This window comes from Homo sapiens, chromosome 1, assembly GCF_000001405.40.
Source record: "Homo sapiens chromosome 1, GRCh38.p14 Primary Assembly".
In the NCBI taxonomy this organism is placed as follows: Eukaryota; Metazoa; Chordata; class Mammalia; order Primates; family Hominidae; genus Homo; species Homo sapiens.
This window is the reverse complement of record NC_000001.11, coordinates 10517486-10540774: the sequence shown is the minus strand read 5'-3', so window position 1 is coordinate 10540774 and position 23289 is coordinate 10517486. Positions and strand designations below refer to the sequence as shown.

The following is a 23289-nucleotide window of genomic DNA, read 5'->3' as shown; positions in this document are numbered from 1 at the left end:
TGGCAAGATTTCCGTGCCCTCCCCCCAAGCTATCTGCTGGACCCAAGCTCTAGGAAGAAAAGCTTTGTGAAAAGACTTCTGGCTTCACTAAGACACATTAAAGAATTAATTATAAAGTAAAGCTGAAGGAGAAAATTAATTTTAGAAACACAAGAGGTTACAATTTTTTTTTTCCTGGAGATGGGGGAGGAAACACAGTTATTTTCGTTTTCATCCTGGGGGCACAAGCTGGGAGCTGTCCAGTCGATAACCTGGCCATCAGAACAAGGTTTGTAATTAAAAGGTCAGTGACCTGGAAAGCCAGGGCCCCACTCCCAGAGCTTCTCAGTAATGACGGAGCTATTAAATTAAGACTGTTATGAAATCAATGCTAAAAAAGCTTTCATGGTAACGAGATTCCATTCAAGGACATGCAAACTACCTCATGAAATAGACGTAAATGATAAAAAAAAGAAAAGTAATAAAAGAGAGTTAAATTGAAATCTGTGTAAGAATTTACTCCCCCTTGAAATATTCTACAGAGAAGCCCTTTACCTCTAGCCCACTACCAAGGTTGGGACCGCCAGGTTTCTTCAAGTTCATTTCCAGCAAGGAGGCGGTTTTGCTACCGGGGTTTCTACTTCCAGGAACAGTAGAAGGATAAGATCTAGTTTCACCTTTTGGAATGAGAAAGTATGGTGGTGTGTTTTATTTGTTTCATTTGCCTACCCCAACCAGGACCATTTCTTGGATGAGGCAGGAAAAAGCCCTTTACTTAGACACTTGAGAAGGACACAGTAAGTGTGAGCCAACAGCACCCAGGCCCCACTATGCAGGGTTATACAGAAAAATAGATGATGTTTGTCTTTCCTAGAAGCTTGCTTTGCAACAGATATGTTAGAGTAAGTTAACAGACAACTCTATCCCCCTCCCCCACCTCACCCCCCTCACAAGCAAGCATCACTATTACCCACCTCATCCTCAGCCTGCCAAACATCTTTGGAAGCAGACTGCCTCCTACATTTTGTGGCTGGATAGGGTGTCAAATCAACACAAGCCTATTGACGACAATTTCCAAGCCTCTAACTTTCTGGACTGATTCTATTGCTGTTTTTACGTTACTCTAACCTCCTGGATTGCAGCCTGCTTAAAGCCCCAGATATGATGCCTGCCTGGCAAGAACTGCTTCTATATATAGACTGGTTCTATGAGGGCTTAAACCCCACACACAGTCCAATTATCTTGATGTGTGGCTGACTCCGCAGTTGATGTGTCATCTGCAGAATCAAGTGGTTGGAAGGAAAACAAAAACATTTATTCTAATACTCTGAAGGTGAGCAGCTGCTTTTTTCTTTCATCCAAAATATTCCCGATAAAAGGAAGAAATGTTGTAAATTACACAAAATGGCAGTACAAACTTCAAAGAAAATGATAAATGATTCTAATAACTTCACGTTTCTCATTAATGGCTCCATGTTCAGATTTTAAAGCATCCGAAAGAGATCTCAAAACAAAAAACAAAAAAAAAGTAACAGGAAAGACCTTTGCAAACCAATGCTCTTCCATCCCTATACCACTCATTCCCTACTCACCCTCACCCAGCACCCCCACCAGAAGTCACAGAGCACAACACTTAACCAGTCGGTAACACGGACAGGATGCAGCCCCTGCTCCCAGCTGCGGTTTCACAATGAAACAAACTCAGCTGATGCGCCTCATTTTCCACTGAACTGACATGCACTACAGGGACCTCAATTTCTATATTAAATATTAAATAATATTAAAAGAAAAACAAAATTGGATTTGCCTTTTCAGGAAAGAGATGTTTATTAAAAAAAAGAAAGTCAAGATTATAATTCAAGTCAGTGCTCCACTGCAATTCCCTGAAGTGACATTGCTAGGAAAAGCCAAGACTCCAGGAGCTGAGAGCCCTCCCAGAGCCCATGCTCCAAGCCCAGCACTGCAAGGCTTCTGCAGGGAGTCCAAGAGCACGGGTGCCAGAACCCAGGCCCCTCCTGGTCCAGACGGCCAGCGAGCCAATTTGCTTTCCTGCCACAACTACTGTTAGGGACCCAGTAGATGTTCACCCTCATCCCCATCGGAGACGGTGCCAGGCCGTGCTGAGCACGGAAACCTGACCCTGGAACAGCCCGAAATTTGAAAAGTGAAGCTTAAATCTGCGAAGGGGCTTTTCTTCCCCAGACACCGATCAAACCTTGGAATTCTCTGCCCAGAAAAGGTCCTGCCAGAACCTACTCCATTGGGATTCAACTCGGAAATGGATAATTACTGACTGAAGCAGCATTTTAGAGGATAATGGAGATGGGTGATTAACCTCAGAGATTCCAGGTTTAAGTACGGGATAAACTCACATGGTTCTCTTTAGAGGACGAAGGGCAGGATAGCATCTCAAGGTGCCAGATGCCTAAAATTCTAAAAACTCTAACCCAAATTAGGGGTCAAGAAGGAATTATGTCCACTGTACCAATAAACAGTCACCTTCCAGTCTTTGCTCATGTGCCACCCTCTTAGAGACACTCTGACATTCATGTTGTTTAAGATCACAGTCCAGCCCACACCAACTCTGGCATTCCTCACCCCGGCTCCCTGCTTCATTCATCAGTATCCATGGCGCTCGGCATCTGACATCCGACCTATTTCATTTTCCCATTTGTTAATCGTCTGCCTTCCCTCCACTAGAATTTAAGCTCTGCGAGGGCAGGGATTTTGTCTGTTCGGTTCTCTGCTAAATTCCTGATGGGAGTCCAGGGACAGGGCATAGGGTGCACAATGACTCTTGGATGAATTGATCAGTTGGATTTTTTTTGCTAAAGGAGCAACGAATCATAATTGCACAAAAAGTTTTCTCTCTACAGTAATTATTAGCCAAGTAACTCAAAAGAAGTATTATTTGGTCCAGAGTTTCTCTCTCTCTTTTTTTTTTCACTCCCTCTCCCAGTCAGGGATTTATTAAAATTAAACAGATTAGATGGAGCTCCTGATACTAAAACTGCTCAGCAAAGCCTGCGGTGGGGAAGTGCCGAGCAAACACCAGAGACATTTGTCTCTAAATTGCTCTAAATACCTTCTGCAAATGAAATTCTAACCCAGCTGCGTTTGAGAGAAAATGAGGACTAACTGGTCATTGTCGGTGGAAGAGAAGATCAGGCAGTTATAATATTGCACAATATACTGGAGCTAAGGATCTCTCGGCAACCATAGATTTTGTCTCAGGTTACCCCGGGTAATCAGCTCAGCTTTTAGGCTCAGCTTTCCCCAGCTTCAATGCTTTGATGAGAGAGCTGAAATCCCTAAGCTTTTATGATTAATTACTCCCCATAGGTACACATATTTCAAGGAAAAACTCTTTTATGGCATGATGCTTGCGGAGTGGCGAGGCCAGCCAACACACTCCAAATTTTAATAATCTCCTAATGATGGCGGGGGGGGGGGGTGCTGGCACAATGCAGCCAGTGAGCAGCCGTGCAGTGCTCCTTACCAACTCTGTCGCAGGGACCCAGCCTTGGGGCTGCCGCGAAGCAGCTGCCTGTGGTGAAATGTTTGGGCTTCTTCTGCCCAAACCCTGTTAGTGCAGCCCCGGGACATGATCGCATGAAGGGACCAATGGTTCATGCTGCATCCCTTCAGCGGGACATCACAGAGCAGACCTAGGAAATATCACCCACCTATTCCAGCCAAAAATGACTGAAAGCTCAAAACTCAGAATTTCAAGGCTGGCATTCCAGCTCCTTAAGGAAAAAGAGTTTTGCTTTGGGAGGAAGAAAGCTTACTTTTGCCCATCATGGTATATAAGGATGTGTAAATGACTTCCTAGATTTCTAGAAAATTACATGTATAAAAAATTGAAAAGTCAGGTTTCTTTGTAGTTTTCATTTTACAAAAAAAGAAAAATACCCTGAAGTCCAACAGAACCAGAATAGATTGTCTCTTCAGACAATATTGAATTTGTCAGGGTCCACTTTATCCCTGTTTACAGAAATACCATAAAACCACTAATTTACCGCTTCAATCTGTAAATCGGACTGACCCCAAGCTTGAGTTTAACCTGACCTTGTTAGTCATCTCGTTTCCCTCGCCCTTCATTTCTTTCTCCCTCATTCTCTATTGAAGCAGCTGAACTCCTAACCTAAGCTAGTCATCCTGCAGCCAGGGTCACTGACACAGAGCAGACCAAAAACCAGAAGTCCTCCACAGTCTCATCCAATGGGCCGACTCTGCTACTGAATGCTGCCTTTGCCATGATGGACTGGACTAAGTCATCCGTGCTTAATTACCCGAATCGTGTCATCTTGCCGCTCCATTGTCAGGAAAGAAACCTGCATGCCCCACTGGGGGGTTCGCCTCAGCCCCACTGCCCCATGAGTGGGCAGCTCTAGGAAGTCCTGGCAGCTCAGCACCTGCCTTGCACCGTGGCTTCCATCTGCCCCAGCCCCAGTCCCCCTGTAGGCCGTGCTGCACAGCCCTGTGGAACCTGTACCTTTCTTCTTTAGGAATGCTCTCCTGGTTGCAAGTGGGCTCTGGCGGACCCGGGAATTCTGTAGAAACTTCACTGCCGTGGCAATCTGGTGAGAGAGAGAAAATAGAGGAGTAAACTTCACTTCAATAGTCTGAATTTCAAGATTAAAAATCCTAGGAGTTTTTCCCAGCTCCACAGAGACAAGCATACTATTGTGGTCAAATTTATAACCAGTTATTTCTTAAACTTAAAATCTACCTAAATGAAAGGCGATGTTGTTTCCCTGTCTTCACTGGCTTCCTGTATCTGAGTCTGTCAAATCTAATCCCTCTGCCGAGCTTCAGGCCTGCGACGATCCTTCCTGTTCCTCCTGATCTCCATTCGAGCTGATTCTTCATACTCCCCGGCAGGTGTGGCCATGCGCACCCATGTCGCCGCCCTTGTGCCCTGTATGCTGTCTTTCTGGAAGGCCTCCCTTTCCTGCCTCCACCTGTCTAAACGTTACCCCACGCGCACGTACACACGCACACACACACACACACGTTCTCTATCAGCACAGCCCTTTTATAGTCTGTTCTGATTCCTCGAAGCCTTGCCTAAATAAGCAAGCCATCTCTGATCTCCCTATTCTCTTCAATTCTTCAGTGCCTGTACTGTGTACCATATAATTGAAGACATAATTACACCATCTTCTAATGTTCAGCCTGCCTCCCCAACTACGCTGCAAGCAAGTGAAGGGCAGAGACCACACTCTCTCCAGAGCCTGGCAAAGTGTTGAGGGCGTCCCGGCTGGAAGGGATTATGTCGGAGACAACACCCACTGCCATTCACTCTGGCCCCCCTTCTGCAATGGAGCTGAGTTCTGAAGACCCTTCAAAGGGCAAAGTTTGGAGTTTCATGGCTAAAAGCTGACAGATTGACAGATTGTCTACCTGCCTCTGGTAATGAATATTATTTAATGAAATCTTCCTATCTCCACATAAGCCGGGCAGGGGATGGAAGGGGCACCGCTGCAGGTATTAACCTTCACATCACTCAGCACACGCGAAGTGTGTGTTTACGCCTGGCTTGTCTACTTTCCACCCCAGACACCAGCCCTATGGATGGGAAACGCCCACCTGCCCCAGGTAGGAAAGGGGCTGTTTTAAATGACTGCTATTATTCACCTCATCAAAATCAAAGGAATAATATGGTCTCATGTTACAGATAAAGTCAACAGGCCCTGAGTTCACTCATAAGTTGTTGAAAGAAAAAATTTCTAAGGCTAGATGTAAGGAAGTTTTCTAAGATCCTTCAAACTAAGGGAAGCAGTCAAACAGAAAGTACTGTGACTGTAAGTGAAATACAAGTTACAAATCATCTCCTTCCCCATATTTTATATGAATGTAATCCTGAGACCAGACAGACTTTTGGGGAACAAAAGATATGAGGATAAACCAAAGAAAAAAAGCCAGGGAAAAGCCTGTATTCATTTTCCCTGCAACCCCTCCGTGGGAGGCTTACCTAGACATTCCCCTAAAGGATGAACTCAGTATCTTGACTTTTCAGGTCTGGGCCTGTCACCAACAGGACATACTAGTGTCCCTTGACAGCCAAGCCCAGCTCCGCACAGATTATCATCTGTCCTCCAATGCTGCCGACAGTACTAACCACCGTCATGAACCACAGTAATAGACCAGTTCTGGACTAAAGAAAAATGAATGCTCGAGATTCTAGAGACCCCAAACGGCATACTCAACCAGATCGCCTCAGGTCACACCAAAATCAAGAGAAATCTAACAAACATCTACAACACTGATGCATTTTAATGAAGAGATAGGAGAAGGGAAGAAGGAAAAAAGAGAAAAAAGAAAAGGGGATGGGTAGAGGTAGGAAAGGTGGGGAGAAGAAGGCAACAGTACACAAGGAGCTATAACAGGAGAGAGGGGGAAAAGGAGAGAGGAGAAATGAGAGACAAGCAGAAAAACCAACGGAAGCGAGGCCCCTGCTCTGGAAAGAGAATGAACAGGTACCCAGTCACTGGCCCCCAGGGTCAGCGCCAGTCTGCACAGCTCAGATGGCGTGGGGATAGTTGTTCTTCACCTGGAGAAAAAAATACACCTTCAACACACAAGAAAATTACACTACTCGTATCATGCGGTAGTCTGCATGCTGTGTGTGACACGTGTACCAGGTGTCAGCGGAAATGTGGATGAACAGGTCTTAAGCAGAAGATGCTAGTAGTACAGCTCCTATCATTTACCCATAGAAACAGAAAGCTTTCCTTCATCCTTCCAAAATTTTCCATGACAGAGAAAGAAAACAGAATCCCACCACTGGAACACACAGGTTTCACCTTGCTTTTTTAATATAGTCCTTGGTATATGCATTTCTGGTCAGAGAGCAAAGTTCTGATGGGTTTAATGGTGCACTCAATGCAGTGCTTGGCGCATTCCATCAATTTTTTTTAAAAAAATGCATCTCTTATTTCTTTAAATACATTAATCAGCCTAGTGTAGGCAAAACGGATCCATCGGACAATGCAATAAACATGAATTATCATCTATCCAACATGCATAATGGCTTAAAAATACATAATAGCAGGTGTAGTTTAAATGATTAGTTATTACACCTGTGGTGGGTCTGATTCAATTGGGAAAAATCATCTTTAATAGGTTAAAAGGTTTAGATCACCATGCTTTCCTTAAAGTGGCTGCAGAGAGGGAATGATGGAGTGCTCTGTCATTAGTAATTCATTTAAGAAGAACGTGGGGGATATAGCAAAGAACAGCATAAACGAGCGAATCCAATTTAAACATCAGGTAAAGTAGAAAACACCTTTTAAAAAAGCAAGAAAAATGAATTTGGAAGGGAGATGAAATTGACGTATTTATTTTAACGGGAATTTGACAAAGTCCCGGCACACTTCAAACTTGCAAAAATATGAACAATTTCTTTTAAAGTTTCCATTCACTAATTTCAAGTCATATAAAATAATACTGCCAAACACCTACATAAAGTATATTTGGGGCTTGTTTATGTTCCTCTTGATCTTTGTCTGAAAATGCAGGCGACAGGCAAATCACATATTTAACAGCATCGACATCACTACACTAGATGCAAAAATATAAAGCACTCAAATAGCCCCAACCTAATGTGCTGAATAAGAAAGACACCCTGAGAAGTGGCTACATGTAAGTGTGAACATATGAAAACCTCTCTCCTCTTTTCACTAATTATTTCTTCAGTTACTCTTGACTCTTCTCCCTCCCTCCCCGCAAGGAACTGGCACTACAAAATGGGGGGAAGGACCTGTCCAATCTAGAATTTTATAGCCCCATGATTCATACATCGATGGGAGAAGATTTTGCAAAACTCTTTACCCATAATGCTAACATCTTCACACACTAAATAACTGACAGGGCACTCGGTTTGTGCCTTTCACCCACCTATTGTTGGGCACTTTTCATTAATTTCATGAAGCAATTCAACTGACTTTCCTCTGCAGAGGCCCAACACACACAACACGCTTTTGTTGGATTCGATGATGGGGTGCCTGCAGCCTGTCCTGTATTATCATTTGATTTTCTAATTAGAAGATGAATGTGACTATTCATGGGTTATATTTGTGCCCAACTAAATTACATAAATTCAGGCCAAATCTTCCGCCTCAATGTCAAAGATGTAAAACGGAGACAGGAACTTTATTGCACATGTTGTGGGAGTGCAGCAAGCCAGGGAGAATTCTGGCACTAAGCTGCTGATGCCGCCGTCGAAGCTGCTTGCTGGTGAGCCTGTGATAAATATGGAATCAGCGTTCCTTTCCCTTCCTCTTGCACTGAGTTCTTAATGAGTGCACCTCGAATTACCAATAGCTAGTTTAATCAAAATAAAGACAACAAACTCCAAAGAAAACAGACCAGTTTCTCCCCGCCCCCCATCCCTCTGACCCTACCTTCTGTCCCCTTCTCCACCCAAAGCAAAATAAAACAACCCTGCCACCACCAATTCCACAATTTTGGGGAAATTTCATAATTTTCACTATGTGTCACTTAGAGATAAAACTGAGGTGCAAGGAAGAGGAGTAAATTCTTGTCTTTGCAGTCTCATAACAATGGTTACACCGGAGTCACTGGAGTCACTGTCAGCAACTTGGAAAAAAGCGGGGGGGACTTCAGGTTGAAAAACACCTTTAGATCTAAGATGACTGGCCAATTGAGAGAGATTTGTATTTGAGAGAGCAGGATTTGTAACTGTATAAATCAATGGAATACAGTATACTCAGGGGTTATCTACTATGAACTATGTGCTGTTAAATGCATTGTGTAGGGTAAGTAATCCCCAGTGAGAAGAACTGAGGTTCCTGACAGTCCTCACCAAAGAGATGCTTCCTATGTGTTTTCCACTCTCCTACAAAAGACCTGCACATTGTAATCTTCAGAATACACACTTTATTTTCTGCACGAGGGGGACAGGAGGACAGAGCCTGCCTAATAATGAACCTGGGGTTTGAGGGAGCCTTAGCACTTTGCACCTGACATGTAAACCTGATGCATTGTCTCCAGTGACACTTATTTGGAATGCCACCAATTCCAGCACTCCTGTGTACTACATACACATCTATCTCCTAAGATGTGAGCATTCATTAGCCATCTTAAAATATTAAAAATATTCAAAAATTAATGACACTAACAACCAAAGCCAAGTCCTTTTAACCCACAGAGATCACAACTAGAGGGCAAAAGAAAATGACCAATATAATCTACGGGCCCGAAACCCCATTCCAGCGCCGCACTGCTCCACGTGCGCTGCTCAGAAGATTAAATTGCCTGTGAAAGGTTCCTACGTTCATACACTAAAGTAGATACCCAGAATCCTGTTAACAAGCGTTAGACCAAAGCCAACTCGAGTTTTAACAAGGACTGACTTAAAAAGCCAGGCACTGCCAAGAATGAGAGAACCCTCTTCAAACAGAAATGCTGCATTTTAGTAAGAAATCAGTACTCTGTCAGGAGTTCCTTGACAAATATGGTCATCGGCGGCACAGGGAAATAGTTGCAAAGCAGCTGTTAATCAGAGAAACACATCGTAGAACGCTGATGCTAGCACTCGTGAAAAAATGCAACGGGCTAATTATGAAGCTATATATCTCACTAAAGAGGCCGTGTTCCTTGAGATTCCAGGCAGAGCACTCTCGGATCCAGGGTCCTAGGACAACATAATTCTGGTTTTCTACATGCAGGCTCCTCTCTGATCTACCATTCACAATGCCGGGCTCCCTGTTCTTTCTCAAGTCTACACGCTCTCTTTCTAGCTAGGGAACAGGCTGGGGAGGGAAGGAAGCAGCGGCAACCACAAGCCACATTCCACGAACATATCCAAAAGGTGACATATCCTAAACCAGAGTAGAAGAAAAATCTACAAGTATGCAAAAGAAAGCAAGCGTCGGAATTGTCATTCTCAGTGTGGCAGGAGGGCAAATGTGTGTGAGCCTCAATCCAGGATTTCCCCAGCTGCCAAAATGAAAAGAAAGACTAAAAAAGCAGCAGGAATAAACAAAAACTAGAGGCAGTTCTGTGTGCAACCTCAAAGGGAGAAAGAAAGCTTCCAGAAAGCTGCTCTCAGAGTGTGACTGCAACTCAGGGACGCCAAGGGCCCAATAGCCAGGTAAGAGGGGAAAGTTAATATGCAGAGGAAGGCTCGGTCAGCCAAAATTCAATACGCGCCTCTGCAAGGACAAGGAGGAACAGGCTCCCCGAAACCAGACTAGTGGGAGTAGGGGGGAGGGGCCTGCACACTCGGAGTAAAACCACTGGAATGGCAAGAGGGGAATAACCTTGAGGTGGACGAGCCCGCAGGCGGCAGAAGCGCAGAGCCAAAGTGCCCCCTAGCCGGAGCCGGCGGAGGCGCAGGCCGGGGCGGCCGCTCCGCTAACTCGCACAGCCCAAATTAAGTGTTTTCACTCAGGGAAAATGAAATGTTTTGCAAGATGAAACAGAATGAAAATTGAGGTTTTAGGTAATTACTAGTTGGCATTTACATATCACGGGCTGGTTCAACACCTATTCATTTTCCTCTTTTATTTTCAATTTTTAAAAATTGCTCATTAAAAATGAACAGATGACAGTGACAGGAATTTTTTTTGTACTCTTTCCCCTTCTCTGAGGGTTACAAAACCAAGAGGCAATTTTAGCCCATTTATCTATAATTAACGCACACACAAAGGTATGTTTCATGTACATTAAGGGAGGAAAGGAGAAGGGAAAGTCAACAAAAGCCAGGAAGTTCAACAATAAAGACAGTGAGTTGTACTCAGGTAGCCTCCTGCACCTGGGTAAGGAGCTGGCTAGCAAGTGCCCTGGCACTCAAGGAGTTAAAGGAAAGAGCCTCTCTTTCGACTTGGAATTTCCTGGGTTTTGTCACTGTGTCCTTCCCATTGTTGATTTGGGTTACAACACTATACTAATTAAGCTTGTGGGCCCTAATTTCCTTTGTTTTACTTTACTTTCCTCTGTCCTTTTGTTTTTCACATTAAAGAAATAAAATTCCGCTGGTAGAAGTGCACAGGAGTTGACATGATAGAACAGAATATATTTTAAGGCTATTGTGTAAATCTGTATTTAGGGAATTCTAAAGCATGCATTATTGACCCTAGTCTCTCTTAAAACTCATTGATATATGTAGTAAAAGCCTTTATGAAAAGTGGCAACTTCACATGCACAAAAACTACCTTTCAAAGTGAAATATCTCTGCCATTTATTTTTTTTCCCTTGGCCTTAGTTAAAAATATTGCATGAACTGCTTGCCAGAATGTCATTGTTTTGTTATTTGATTAAAGTAGTTCTTCCAGAAATGTATATTGAAATAAAAAGCATCTTAAACCACCACGCACTATTTAATGTCAAGGGACAGTGATCTTAGGGACGTAAGGGTGACTTTGGAGAGGTGTCCGTGTCCAGCCGAGGACTCTGGGTGCCAACTTCCAGCCCAAAGGGCGCTGGTGCAGTGGAGGAGCACAGCTTGAAAAGCAGAGCTGCTGATGCAGCGGGTGACGGTCACCACGCCACAGAAGGAGCTGTGGAGTACACGCCGGCCTGGAAGAAATGAAACCCTTGCTTGTGGGTTGGGAAGATCAAAGTTCCTTTTTAGGAAAGGTTGAGAAGGAAAAGCGTTTTTCTCCTTCAGGGAGAAAGAAAAGCACATTTAAATGCCTTGTCCCCACGCATCCCCACCTGAATTTAGATAGCAGCCCCTCTAATTTTTGATGCAACCAACAAAGCAGTTACCCAAAGAGGGGAGGAAAAAAGGATGACATTTGCCTTTTCCCTGCCTTTGAAATGCAACTGGCAGCAAATTGTTTGAAGTCCTGTTTAGAGAAGAAACTGTAATAGCCTTCATACTGAAAAGAGGAGGAAAATGCCATTATACACGGATCACGGTAGCAGTGACCTCAGCAGAGAAGGCAAACGAGCTGGCTGCAAGTTGGAGGTTTGGCCAGCGTGCCAGGAACGGAAATAAAAGGTTTATGTGCCAGAGACGAGTGGCAAGAGCTGGGTGCTCGATCCCAAGAGATACCAAGGAAAGACAAGTAGTTCAATTCCTTAACATGATGTTTTTCAACAGCTCCTTGACTGCTCCTTCTTCCAGTATCCCCTGGTTTTATATTTTCAATATTCCTCTAATTTCCCTGCACTGTTAAAGAGGAAGCAGAGAGCACCCAGGCTTCGTGTTGTAAAATTAATGAAGGTGTCAAGCTGTTGAGTTAAATCACTCTAAAGGAATGTAATGACTCAGTGTCCAAGATGCTCCCTGAGAGAACTGTGAGCTCACACAGTGACGGTGGCGGGTGACTCCAACACTAAAAATATGTGGCACACAGTCCCCAGCACCTCCCTAATGATAACACTGCCTCTATTTCCTAGTCTCTTTCTCTCCACCACTGGTTGAATTTCATGCTTTCTGAAAGGTATTTCTCCTAACCTCCAGCAGCTTCAGATGCTCAGCAGATGAAACCCTGCTTCAGCTTCCACTTCTTTTGAAGTTCGGCCAGATGGAGATTGGTGAAGCTCTCTAGTCATGCACTATTGAACTGCGGGATGATTAGGAAGGAGACGAAGAAAGGTTGTGTCATGGATAATGGCAACCTCAAACATTAAGGCATCACTGGGGGTCAGCTACTGAATAGGTGACCACCAGCTGGTGCAAGGCAGGATCCCCCTCAAGGGCTTAGGGCCACCTGCCCTAAGGGCAAGAAGATGGGCTCCTGAATTCCAAGGAAGATAAGCTCTGGACCAAAAAATTATGTGTACCATCAACCCACACTCTGCACAAAACTAAAACCTTCAAGGAGTCTTTAAAAGGCACTTCTAGGCCAAGCACAGTGGCTCACGCTTGTAATCCCAACACTTTGGGAGGCCGAGGCGAGTGGACCAGTTGAGGCCAGGAGTTTGAGAAGAGCCTGGCCAACATGGCGAAACCCCATCTCCACTAAAAAAAATACAAAAATTAGCCAGGTGTGGTGGTGCATAGTCTTAGCTACTAGGGTGGCTGAGGCATGAGAATTACTTGAACCTGGGAGGCAGAGGTTGCAATGAACCAAGATCGCACCACTGCACTCCAGCCTGGGTGACAGAGTGAGACTCTGTCTTGGAAACAAACAAACAAAAAAATAAATAAATAAAAGGCAATTCTACCAAACACCCCATAAGAAAATTAGAGAATGACCTAATGCTAAAAAATAAATTTGAATACAAAAAAAAAGAACTACTCATAGCCTAGAATGAGTTCAAATTTAGAAACAAATTTTTTCTTTTTTTTTTTTTTTGAGACAGAGTCTCGCTCTGTCACCAGGCTGGAGTGCAGTGGCGTGATCTCGGCTCACTGCAAACTCCACCTCCCGGGTTCAAGCAATTCTTGTGCCTCAGCCTCCCGAGTAGCTGGGACTATAGGCACATGCCACCACACCCAGCTAATTTTTGTATTTTTAGTAGAGACAGGGTTTCACCATGTTGGCAAGGATGGTCTCAATCTCCTGATCTCGTGATCTGCCAGTTTCGGCCTCCCAAAGTGTGGGATTACAGGCGTGAGCCACCATGCCTGGCCCACAAATTTTCTTTTTTTTTTTTTTTGAGACAGAGTCTCACTCTATCACCCAGGCTGGAGTAAAGTGGTACAATCTTGGCACTGCAACCTCTGCCTCCTGGGTTCAAGCGATTCTCCTGTCTCAGCCTCCTGAGTAGCTGGGACTACAGGCACATGCCACCACGCTTGGCTAATTTTTCTATTTTTAGTAGAGACAAGGTTTCACCATGTTGGCCAGGCGGGTCTCGAACTCCTAACCTCAAGTGATCTGCCCACCTCAGCCTCCGAAAGTGCTGGGATTTACAGGTGTGGGCCACCGTGTCCAGCCTAAGAATTTTCTTTAGACCCACCAGAAAACAGAAGAAAGTCAACAATCAAGATCTGCTACTAACGGGATGCCACCAAGTCCTAGATCCTGCTACAGGATGAGCATCCCTAATCTGAAAATCCAAAATCCAAAATGCTCCAAAATCCAGAACTTTTTGAGTGCCAACATGACAGTCAAAGGTCATGCACAAAGGAAATGCTCACTGGAGCATTTCGGATTTGGGATTTTCAGATTTGAGATGCTCAACCAGTAAGTATTATGTACATATTCCAAAATCTGAAAAAATCCAAAATCCAACACTTTTGGTCCCAAGCATTTGGGATCAAGAATACTCAACCTGTATTACCTTTGATTCTTTTATGGCCTAAACAAAAAAACTAAAGTATGGGTTCCAAAAGTGTAATTCATAATGCAGTCAACTGGCAGACTTAAAAATCTTCAAATTGCACTTTGGGAGGCCAAGGTGGGCAGATGACCTGAGATCAGGAGTTTGAGACCAGCCTGACCAACATGGTGAAACACCGTCTGTAATAAAAATACAAAACTTAGCTGGGTGTGGTGGTTCACACTTGTAATCCCAGTTACTTGGGAAGCTAAGGCAGGAGAATCACTTGAACCCAGGAGGTGGAGGCTGCAGCGAGCTATCACGCCACTGCACTCCAGCCTGAGCAACAGAGCACGACTCTGTCTCAAAAAAAAAAAAAAAAAATCAGCCGGGCGCAGTGGCTCACGCCTGTAATCCCAGCACTTTGGGAGGCTGAGGCGGGCGGATCACGAGGTCAGGAGATCGAGACCATCCTGGCTAACACGGTGAAACCCGTCTCTACTAAAAATACAAAAAATTAGCCGGGTGTGGCAGCACGCACCTATAGTCCCAGCTACTAGGGAGGTCGAGGTAGGAGAATCGCTTGAACCTGGGAGACAGAGGTTGCAGTGAGCCAAGATCACACCACTGCACTCCAGCCTGGAAGACACAATGAGACTCTGTCTCAAAAAAAAAAAAAATCAGCCAGGCGCAGTGGCTCACGCCTGCAACCTCAACACTTTAGGGGGCCAAGGCGGGCGGATCACAAGGTCAAGAGTTCGAGATCAGCCTGGCCAATTTAGTGAAACCCCATCTATACTAAAAATACAAAAATTAGCCGGGTGTGGTGGCATGTGCCTGCAGTCCCAGCTACTCGGGAAGCTGAAATGAGAGAATCGCTTGAACCCAGGAGGCGGAGGTTGCAGTGAGCTGAGACCACGCCATTGCACTCCAGCCTGGGTGACAGAGTGACACTCCATTTTGAAGAAAAAAAAATCTTCAAATTGACAGTAGAATGACAAGGATTGGAAACTTACTATTCAAACAGTCATATACAATCAGCTACTGTCAGAGGAAAGTCAACTTCCTCACCAAGCACACCAGCCCCAGAGAGTGGCCAGAAATGGGCTCTCCACAGGGACAAGTTGGTGGTCAGGTTCCATTTTCTAAAAAAGCGGTATCTAATACAGGTCACACCCTTGTAGACGACTTCACAAGTAACATATCAACACAAAGTGTGAAACACAGGAAAGCAATACAAGCTATACCGCTGACGCAGATGAGGAAAATGTCTTTTTTTTTTTTTACACATCTTTCAGAAGTAATGACATAAGGGCTGTGAAACTGATTATCACAGCCATCATCAGATTGTACCCACGGACTGTCTTTAGTATCAAGGTACAAGTTTGGAAGAGAAACTGAATCAAGAGACATCAGTCCAGTTGCCTTCTCTGATAAACCCCAATTAAGAAATTTTCAGCTCAGTGAGGAAATCCATCACACACAAGAAGAACCCAAAGGTAGTCCTCATGGCTTTGAACCATTCAGCAACCTTTCACTAAATACCATAAACATCCCTATTATTAGCCAGCACAGCTACCAATAAACAAACACACACTTTAAAAAATAAATGATCCGGCCGGGCATGGTGGCCCACGCCTATAATTCAGCACTTTGGGAGGCTGAGGCAGGAGGATGGCTGGAGGCCAAGAGTTCGGGACCAGCCTGGGCAACATAACGAGACTCCATTGTTTCAAAAAAAAATTTGTTTTTTTTAAATAGCTTGGCGTAGTGGCGCTCCAGCTACTTGGGGAGCTAGGTGGGAGGATGGCTTGAGCTCAGGAGTTTGAGGTTACACTGAGCTATGATTGTACTGCTTCACTCTAGCCTGGGTGACAGAGTGAGACCCCGTCTCTAAAAATCAATCAATCAATCAATCAATCAATCAAATGATTCCACAAAGGCCTACTGAGCACCAGAGCCATCTTGGCCAAGAGTCACTGTGTCCTACCAATAATGGGAAGATGAAAAGGAGGGTCTTTATGCCCTATATCTGATGCCCTTCCCCATCTTGGTCATCTAGGAGAAGCCAGATGAGCATGTAATTTACTTATGAATAACACAAAATTTACACAATTCTCACCATTAAGCAAATCAGTTTATTGAGCATCTTCCTCCTTTAAATCAATGGTAACTCCTTTCAAATTCTTCCCAGCTCTGTCTGAGAAACAGAGAAGTTCACTTTTTGTTATCTGAAGGATTATGAATTACCATCTTGCTTTGTAACCTTCTTGGTTCTTCACATACTGTTCATAAGGTAAGATACCTGGAAATTACAAAAATCCCTAAATTTCCTCAATTTTGCACAAGCTTCCTGAAACATCCCTCATCCTTTTCTGCTCACTGTCCTTTCTCTCTCTCTCTTCTTGCCTGTTTAAACACATGGACATGGAGTTATTAACTTTTACAGGAAAACCAAATAAAATAAAATAATGTTGAAGCAAAAACGCAGTGATGTCAGGCTGCAGCTAGCACCATTTATCTGTGGGAATCTGATTAGCGCTCGAGTGGCAGAGCTACCTGGAAAAGTGCTCACAATCAAATAAAAAAATGATACCAAAACATTAACCTGATGGCTAAAAACTCCACATTTAAACAGTTAAAGTAATAAAGGAGCTTTTATTGAGTATTTTTTATATTTCATTATGCCCCAAATTGACGAGGACTCCCGGATACATTTTCTAGACTTTTGGTTCCTCAAATCAAATGCTCTCTTGGATTTTTTTTTTTTTTTTTTTTTTAACTAAAAGGAAACAGCATTTCTTGTAAGTTTGAATGAAAGGATTAAAGCTTCTCCTAGAATATCGATAATAGTCTTGAGTGCAAACACAGCCAAACGCTGCCACAAACAGAAGCCTTTTTTTGGTTTATGTACTTTAATTCTGAACTTGCTGATAAGCCAGCAGAGAATTTTCCTACAAGATTTTTTTTTTTTTTTACCTTACACAAATACTGTCATGAACCTGGCCTCTTATGTCCCCACTCAGTGCCTCAGATTCCTTCACTGCTATAAAATAAGGGGTTAAACAGATGACCTTCAGGACCCCCTACCTGTGCCATTTTATAATTTCTAAGTTGATTCCATGAGGCAGTCGCTGATACCTGGGCCAGAGATATGGGCTTAGGTCAAGGACAAGACCCAGTCTTTCCAGATTTCATCTCTCCAAGCTGACACCCAATTCAAAAAAAGGAGAAAACCAACAGAGAAGGAGGAGACAGGGAATAGCAGAAGAAATCAGGGCAGCCAAAAAAGATATTACAAATTCCATATATTTTATACGCTGCGAAGCTTTACTCACGCTACTTACTATTTATTTTATATACAAGCTTAGTTATCTGGTATCCAAATCATAGAAGATAAAAGCTGCAAATAAGAACAGAGAGGAAGGAGCCAGCTAGTACAGAAACACCAAACAAAGATGTGACAGCAAAAAAAAGCCCAACAGCAAATGCCAAGAGAGAAACATCCATGAAAAGCAAACAAAAAAATTCAAAAAGCTTATTAGTCTGGGGTCATTTAGAATCGGTGGAGTCATTTCAAGTAGGGGCAAATATACAACACATCTATATTTCAACAGGTTTTGAAAACACAGCTATGCTTATAACACCATATAAACACGTTCATCTAAAATGACAATACTGAGTCATCACGATTAAATTATATTCCAGATATTCAGCTTAATAAAGCAAGAAAGTATGTAATCCATTTTACATAATTCCCAGCCAAAAGTTTTAAAGTGTTTTGTTTGTTCTGCTTTCAAATGGCTCCTGATGACCATCCAGAAAACGTAACTATCCAGAATGCCTCATTCTAGGAGGTGCCAGAGATGGTGGTTTTCCTGAATTGAACAAGAACAGCTTTGATTCATGTTAGATTAAGAAGCAGGAAGCCAGAGATTAAATAATGAATAGCTACTGAGCATTCACAGGTCCTCACGGTACACCAGCCACTTGTAAAGTCAAAATAGAAGCAGGAAAGATGCTGTTTGTGCTGTAGCAATCTAAGATGAGGAAACAAGCCAAAAGAGATCTTGAGCCATCTGGTCCCACCCATGACCTAGGGACTCCCCTCTCCAACAACCCTGACAAATGATCAGGAAGCCTCCTCTTGAATGCTCATAATGAGCAGGGAAACTACTCCCTTAAGAGACTGTCAGCTCATTTTCAGGAGTGCCTCTTTAAACTGAGTTGAAATCTACTTTCCTGAACCTCCTAACCATTGGTCCTCGTTCTCTGTCTGGCAACAATATTAATTGATCCACTTTTTGAAACAGTGCTGGGTGAGGAATCAGGATAGACTGCTGTCACTGGCTATCTTTTCTATAAAAGCATTTATTTCCCTTACTCTGCTTAGTAACTAAAGGTGAACACTGGCCTCACTGTGTAACAGTTTCATAAATTCTGCTCTTTCGTTTGGTAAGAGCAGCCTTGCCCTTTCTGGGAGAGCCAAGGCTACACCTGTAATGTCAGAATGCATTAGCAATAATAAAGGCCACGGTAATGCAAGAGCCGACTTCATGAACACGTCATTCCAGAATGGCTAAATTCAATCAAATATGGCAGCGCTTCCTACAACACTACGATCACTGGGGCCAGTGTGTGACGTGGGCCCACTTACTGGAAGCTGTTGGAAAGAGAAAGTGAGCACTCTGCTTTAAGACTAATAGACAGGGTTTTTACCAGCCCACAAGTGGTTCAGCATCCTTCTTTCCCAGGAATTACCTAGAAATTCATTTAACATCTAAAGACTACAAATGAAACTTCAGAAGGTTAAAAGTATATAATGAGAAGGGGCCAAGGGGATGGTATTCACTCAACCTCACCTTAAATATGTATGATTCTTAGGGGGGAAAAAAGTCAACACCCATAAGGTGGTAATCAAAAAGCAAAGCCAAAGATGAGCCAGGTTTAATTCTAACTCAGTCACCAACTTCTTCAGTAACTTTCAGAGCTACTTACCTTTCCCGTTCCTGCTTCCTCATCTGTAAACTGGAACTAATACTGCTTAGAGACTCACAAAGTGGTATAAGGAATAATTAGTTAGCATTTATGTAACACTTTTCATCTTCAAAGTAGGATTACAGACTATAAAGTAGAGTAGATGTGGCTTGAAAAATCTTTTTAAAACCTAAAATAAAGCATGAAAGCAAATTCAGAGAAGTAAACTCAGCTGACATCATCTTAGAGCAGCCAGATAGCTCTGCCTCCACGGGCACCCCCATCTTCCCTAGTCAGTATTTGCATGTGGAGACAAAGGTATAAGGATATTTTATTAGGGAAAATGGGAGGAGATAGAAAGAAGAGAAAAAGGAGAAAGAGAAGGTTAGAGAAAAGGAATGGGAGAAAGTATAAAAGGGAGAAAAGATAAGAGAGAAAAAGAAAAGAAAAGGAGAGAATAGAAAACAGCAAGAAATAAAGGAAGAAAAGACAAATCTTATCCACTAGAAGAAAAACAAAAACAGGAAGAGAGGAAGAAAAAGAGAAATGGAAAAGAAAACTTCTTTAAGGGGATAGTTTTCCTGTTTCCAAAGAAAAAAGAAGATTAAAAAGTAAAAGGAAAGTTCAAAATGTTTAAAAAAAAAAAAAAAGACAACGGCAAAGAGCAGAGGATAGAAAAAGAGAAGATAAAGCTTTCAAGAGTATGTCTGGAAACCAGAAAGCTGGAAGAGAAATCATTAGCAAGTCCATAGTGCGTCTACAGTGATACTGTGTGGATCAATTCATTTAACGCTGCCCTGTACATTTACAGAAAAGTACCTCTGATATAATAAAGGCTCATAAACATGCAGAAATTGGGTTAGACCCGTTTCGAATTCCTGCCAAACAATGGTTCAGAAAAATGAAGCTCTATTTTAATTAGCTGGATTCACGAGTGATTTGATAACAGCAGATGCTGTCTGGATGCTTTCAGCTTGATGGGCTCCACATACATGAACTTAGAGTGGTTTTGATGCAATTAGGTGTTTCTTTCTGCTCCAACATGCCAGGCCTAAGGACCTGAGCCTACGTGTAGCCCCTACATGTTGCTAAATTTATCTTTATGTTAATATTCAAATCATGAAGATGAGAAGGGTGGCCACCATAAGGGAAGTAGAAAAGTAGTTTTCAGGGCCGGCCATGGTGGTTCATGACTATAATCCAGCACTCTGGGAGGCCAAGGTGGGAGGATCACTTGAGGCCAAGAGTTTGAGACCAGCCTAGACAACACAGTGAAATCCTGTCTCTTCAAAAAATTTAAAAATTAGCTGGGCATGTTGGCATATGCCTGTGGTCCTAGCTACTTGGGAGGCTGGGGCAGGAGGATCGCTTGAGCTCAGAAGGTTGAGGCTGCAGTGACCTATGACCGCAGCACTGCACTCCAGCCTGGGGTGACAGAGTGAGACCTTGTCTCTAGTTAAAAAAACAAAAAAAAAAAAAAGAAGAAGAAGGCCAGGCACAACAGCTCATGCCTGTAATCCCAGCACTGTGGGAGACTGAAGTGAGAGGATCGCCTGAGCCCAGGAATTTGAGACCCAGCCTGGGCAACAAAGTGAGACCCTGTCACTACCAAAACATATTATTTATTTAATTTATTTTTATTTTACTCTCACCACTTCTGTTCAACAACAACAACAAAAATTTCAAATGAGCTGGGTGTGGTGGCACACATCTATGGTCCCAGCTACATGGAGGTCGAGGCGGGAGGATCACTTCGGCCGGAAGGTGAAGGCTGCAGTAAGCCGTGTTTGCACACTGCACTCCAGCCTGAGCAGCACAGCAAGTCCCTGTGTCCAAAAACAAAGAAAAGTAGTTTTTAAAAGTCACTAGTAAGTAGAAATGAATATTCTCACAATGAATTCTTCTTTCCACCAGGGAAAGAAAAGTTAGGTAGCTGAGAGAAAGCCACATAGGGCAGTGTCTCTGTAGAAATATTTAATGCCAAGGCTGAAACACAACAGGCTGCACACTTCCAATTTTGCAAGTCCAGCACAGTCTTACACCGAAGGAAGAGTGCACCTAATGCATAGCCTGACCTGGGAAGTGGCCTTCAAAATGTTTTTTGTAATAAGGCATCCTATTATAACCCAGCGCACCATTCCCTGAGACAGGCGGTGGTATTCCGGATCACAACCCTGAAAGTCCGAGTCTTTTCGCCAGGTGCTTTCAAGCCAGGCACCTTACTGCCCCCGCTCTCCCTCTTAAGCACTCTCTCTTCCAAAGAGCATTCTGTTTGCTTTTCCCAAAGCACTCCCTGCCCTCTGCTATGGCCACTTAGTGAGGCACCACCCACACACACAGAGCTGCTAAAGGACTGCATAAAGCCAGAGCAGCTTCCAGCACAGGGCACGCCTAATAGGAGGGTCTGATCTGTTAATTATCTGTCAGTTTGTCACGGCTGGGCTGAGGAGGGGAGAATGATGAAAAGGGGGGTGTTAGGGGGAGGCCCTCTACTCGGTGGTGTGCTACTCTTCCTGAAATTCTGAATTCCGCTTTTGAAATCATTCACCCCCTGTTGGACAACGTGTAGTATACAGGGTGAAGAAGAGAGGATGAGAGTTTGGCTCGACTCCTTTTGACAGAAGTGGGGGCCTCTCCAACTCCACCACTACCACGACAAGCACACGGCAAGAAACACACTCCCTCACTTTCTCTCCAAGAGGACAAAACGGACATAACGACCTTCACACCATCTCTCCCCTTCACCGGCACTAACAAGCTGAGCACTGTAAATCAAGGATGAAATCCTTGTGCCAGGAAGGGAAGGAGAAGCATCTCTTCTGTAAAGAGCCCAAAGATGCTTCGGAATCAGCATTTCGGGCAAGGGCTGGGAACGCAGGAAGCACCATGCAGGCAACTGAAGGAAAAATATATATTTATTACATATAGCAGGCCTCCTTCTTCAAAAGTTATTTATTTCACAAAACCACTCTGCTAAATAGAGATTTCAATCTAATTGGAATTGGAATTTGCATATTGTAAATGCACCAAGTGAGAGTCTTGGACACTTGTGTTCTATTCTACAGTGTAAGGGTTCACCCGTGGATTTCCCAATATATACACTACAAGAATGTAAGAAAAGAGCACAGAGAACTGGCCTTTATATTTTATTTTTTCAGCCCTTCACAGAGGGTCCAGTCTGTGAAACGGGATGACGCTCTCAATATCCCCAAGGAGACAAAACCACTGAGGCAGAGAGGAGGTTCCCCCTGGCATCGGGTTTGCCATCAGCCGTGTGTAGCTGTTCAGTCTTGCAGGTCTGTGGAGCACCCCTGCCCACCACCCGGGGGAGGCAGGGAGTAGACCTCTATTCATCTAACCCTTAACCCTCCCCATCCCATCTACATATCAAATTAGCCATGCTTAATTAACAGAGATGCAAATAGTCAGGGACCGAAATAAAGGTTTTTGACAAGAAGCAAAGAGGGATACTTTTTTTTTAAGGAGAGGAGAGCGAAAAAGCACCCAAAACAAAAGGTCAACCTACAAATAACTGAGGAAATGAGAGAGAAAAGGCACAGGTCAGGACTTCCCATAAAGGTCTGAAATTTTCTGTTTGTAACTCAGGGTTCACATGGAAAAGTAACGCATGACAGAGGAAGAGACACTTCTGGGGAAGTCAAGTTGGGACAAAGGTTCTAGAGTCCACCATTTGCCTGGGACTTACTTCCCTAGACTGCATTCAAATTGGGCTTCTGCTCCCTGCTCCCCTCACTCATTTCAAGAAAGAAATTATTTAATTTTTTTCAAATACTGAATCCCTAAGGCCCAAAGATGTGCCGTTTCCTCAAAAACTAAGCATCTTCTAGTTCACAGCAACTCCTTTCTGCCCCCCATATACTCTGACAATGCTAGCCTCTCGGTCACAGGGTGTAACCTTCATTTAAAAAAAAAAAAAATCACAGGTTCTGCTTCCCATTTAGAAAAAAAAAAAAGAACAAAATGGAAAGAAAGAATAAATATGAATTTGGAGGGGAATTCTGCCAAAACCTGAACCTCCAAAATCTGGTTCAGCCACATTCTTGCCCACAACCAGTACTTCTCGGTGCCTCCCTACATTTTTCAAAATGCAGCTGCACAACCTCTTAAAATTCAGATTTCTAG

The 23289-nt window shown here is 43.5% G+C and overlaps 1 protein-coding gene across 10 annotated transcripts in view, besides 1 other annotated feature; it reads right to left on the bottom strand.

Moving 5' to 3' along the window:
• PEX14 (peroxisomal biogenesis factor 14) overlaps positions 1–23289 on the bottom strand; it is a 155809-nt gene that overhangs the window by 89984 nt on the left and 42536 nt on the right. For 6 of the 10 annotated variants that reach the window (XM_047422544.1, XM_047422546.1, NM_004565.3 and 3 more), the window contains exon 3: positions 4478–4562. In XM_047422544.1, the coding sequence (XP_047278500.1) occupies positions 4478–4562 (85 nt within the window). Of the gene's footprint in view, positions 1–4477; positions 4563–12415; positions 12525–16291; positions 16370–16474; positions 20422–23289 lie in introns of those variants that run through there. The other 4 variants (XM_047422545.1, XM_047422542.1, XM_011541578.3 and 1 more) reach the window with 4 other exon arrangements.
• Positions 11531–12730: an enhancer, noted in NCBI's record as "P300/CBP strongly-dependent group 1 enhancer chr1:10588102-10589301 (GRCh37/hg19 assembly coordinates)". NCBI's record gives its function as "activates an origin of replication core promoter dependent on BRD2, BRD4, P300/CBP, MED14 and CDK7 cofactors, with strong dependence on P300/CBP, by STARR-seq in HCT116 cells {active_cell/tissue: HCT116}" and the evidence as "EXISTENCE:reporter gene assay evidence [ECO:0000049][PMID:35650434]".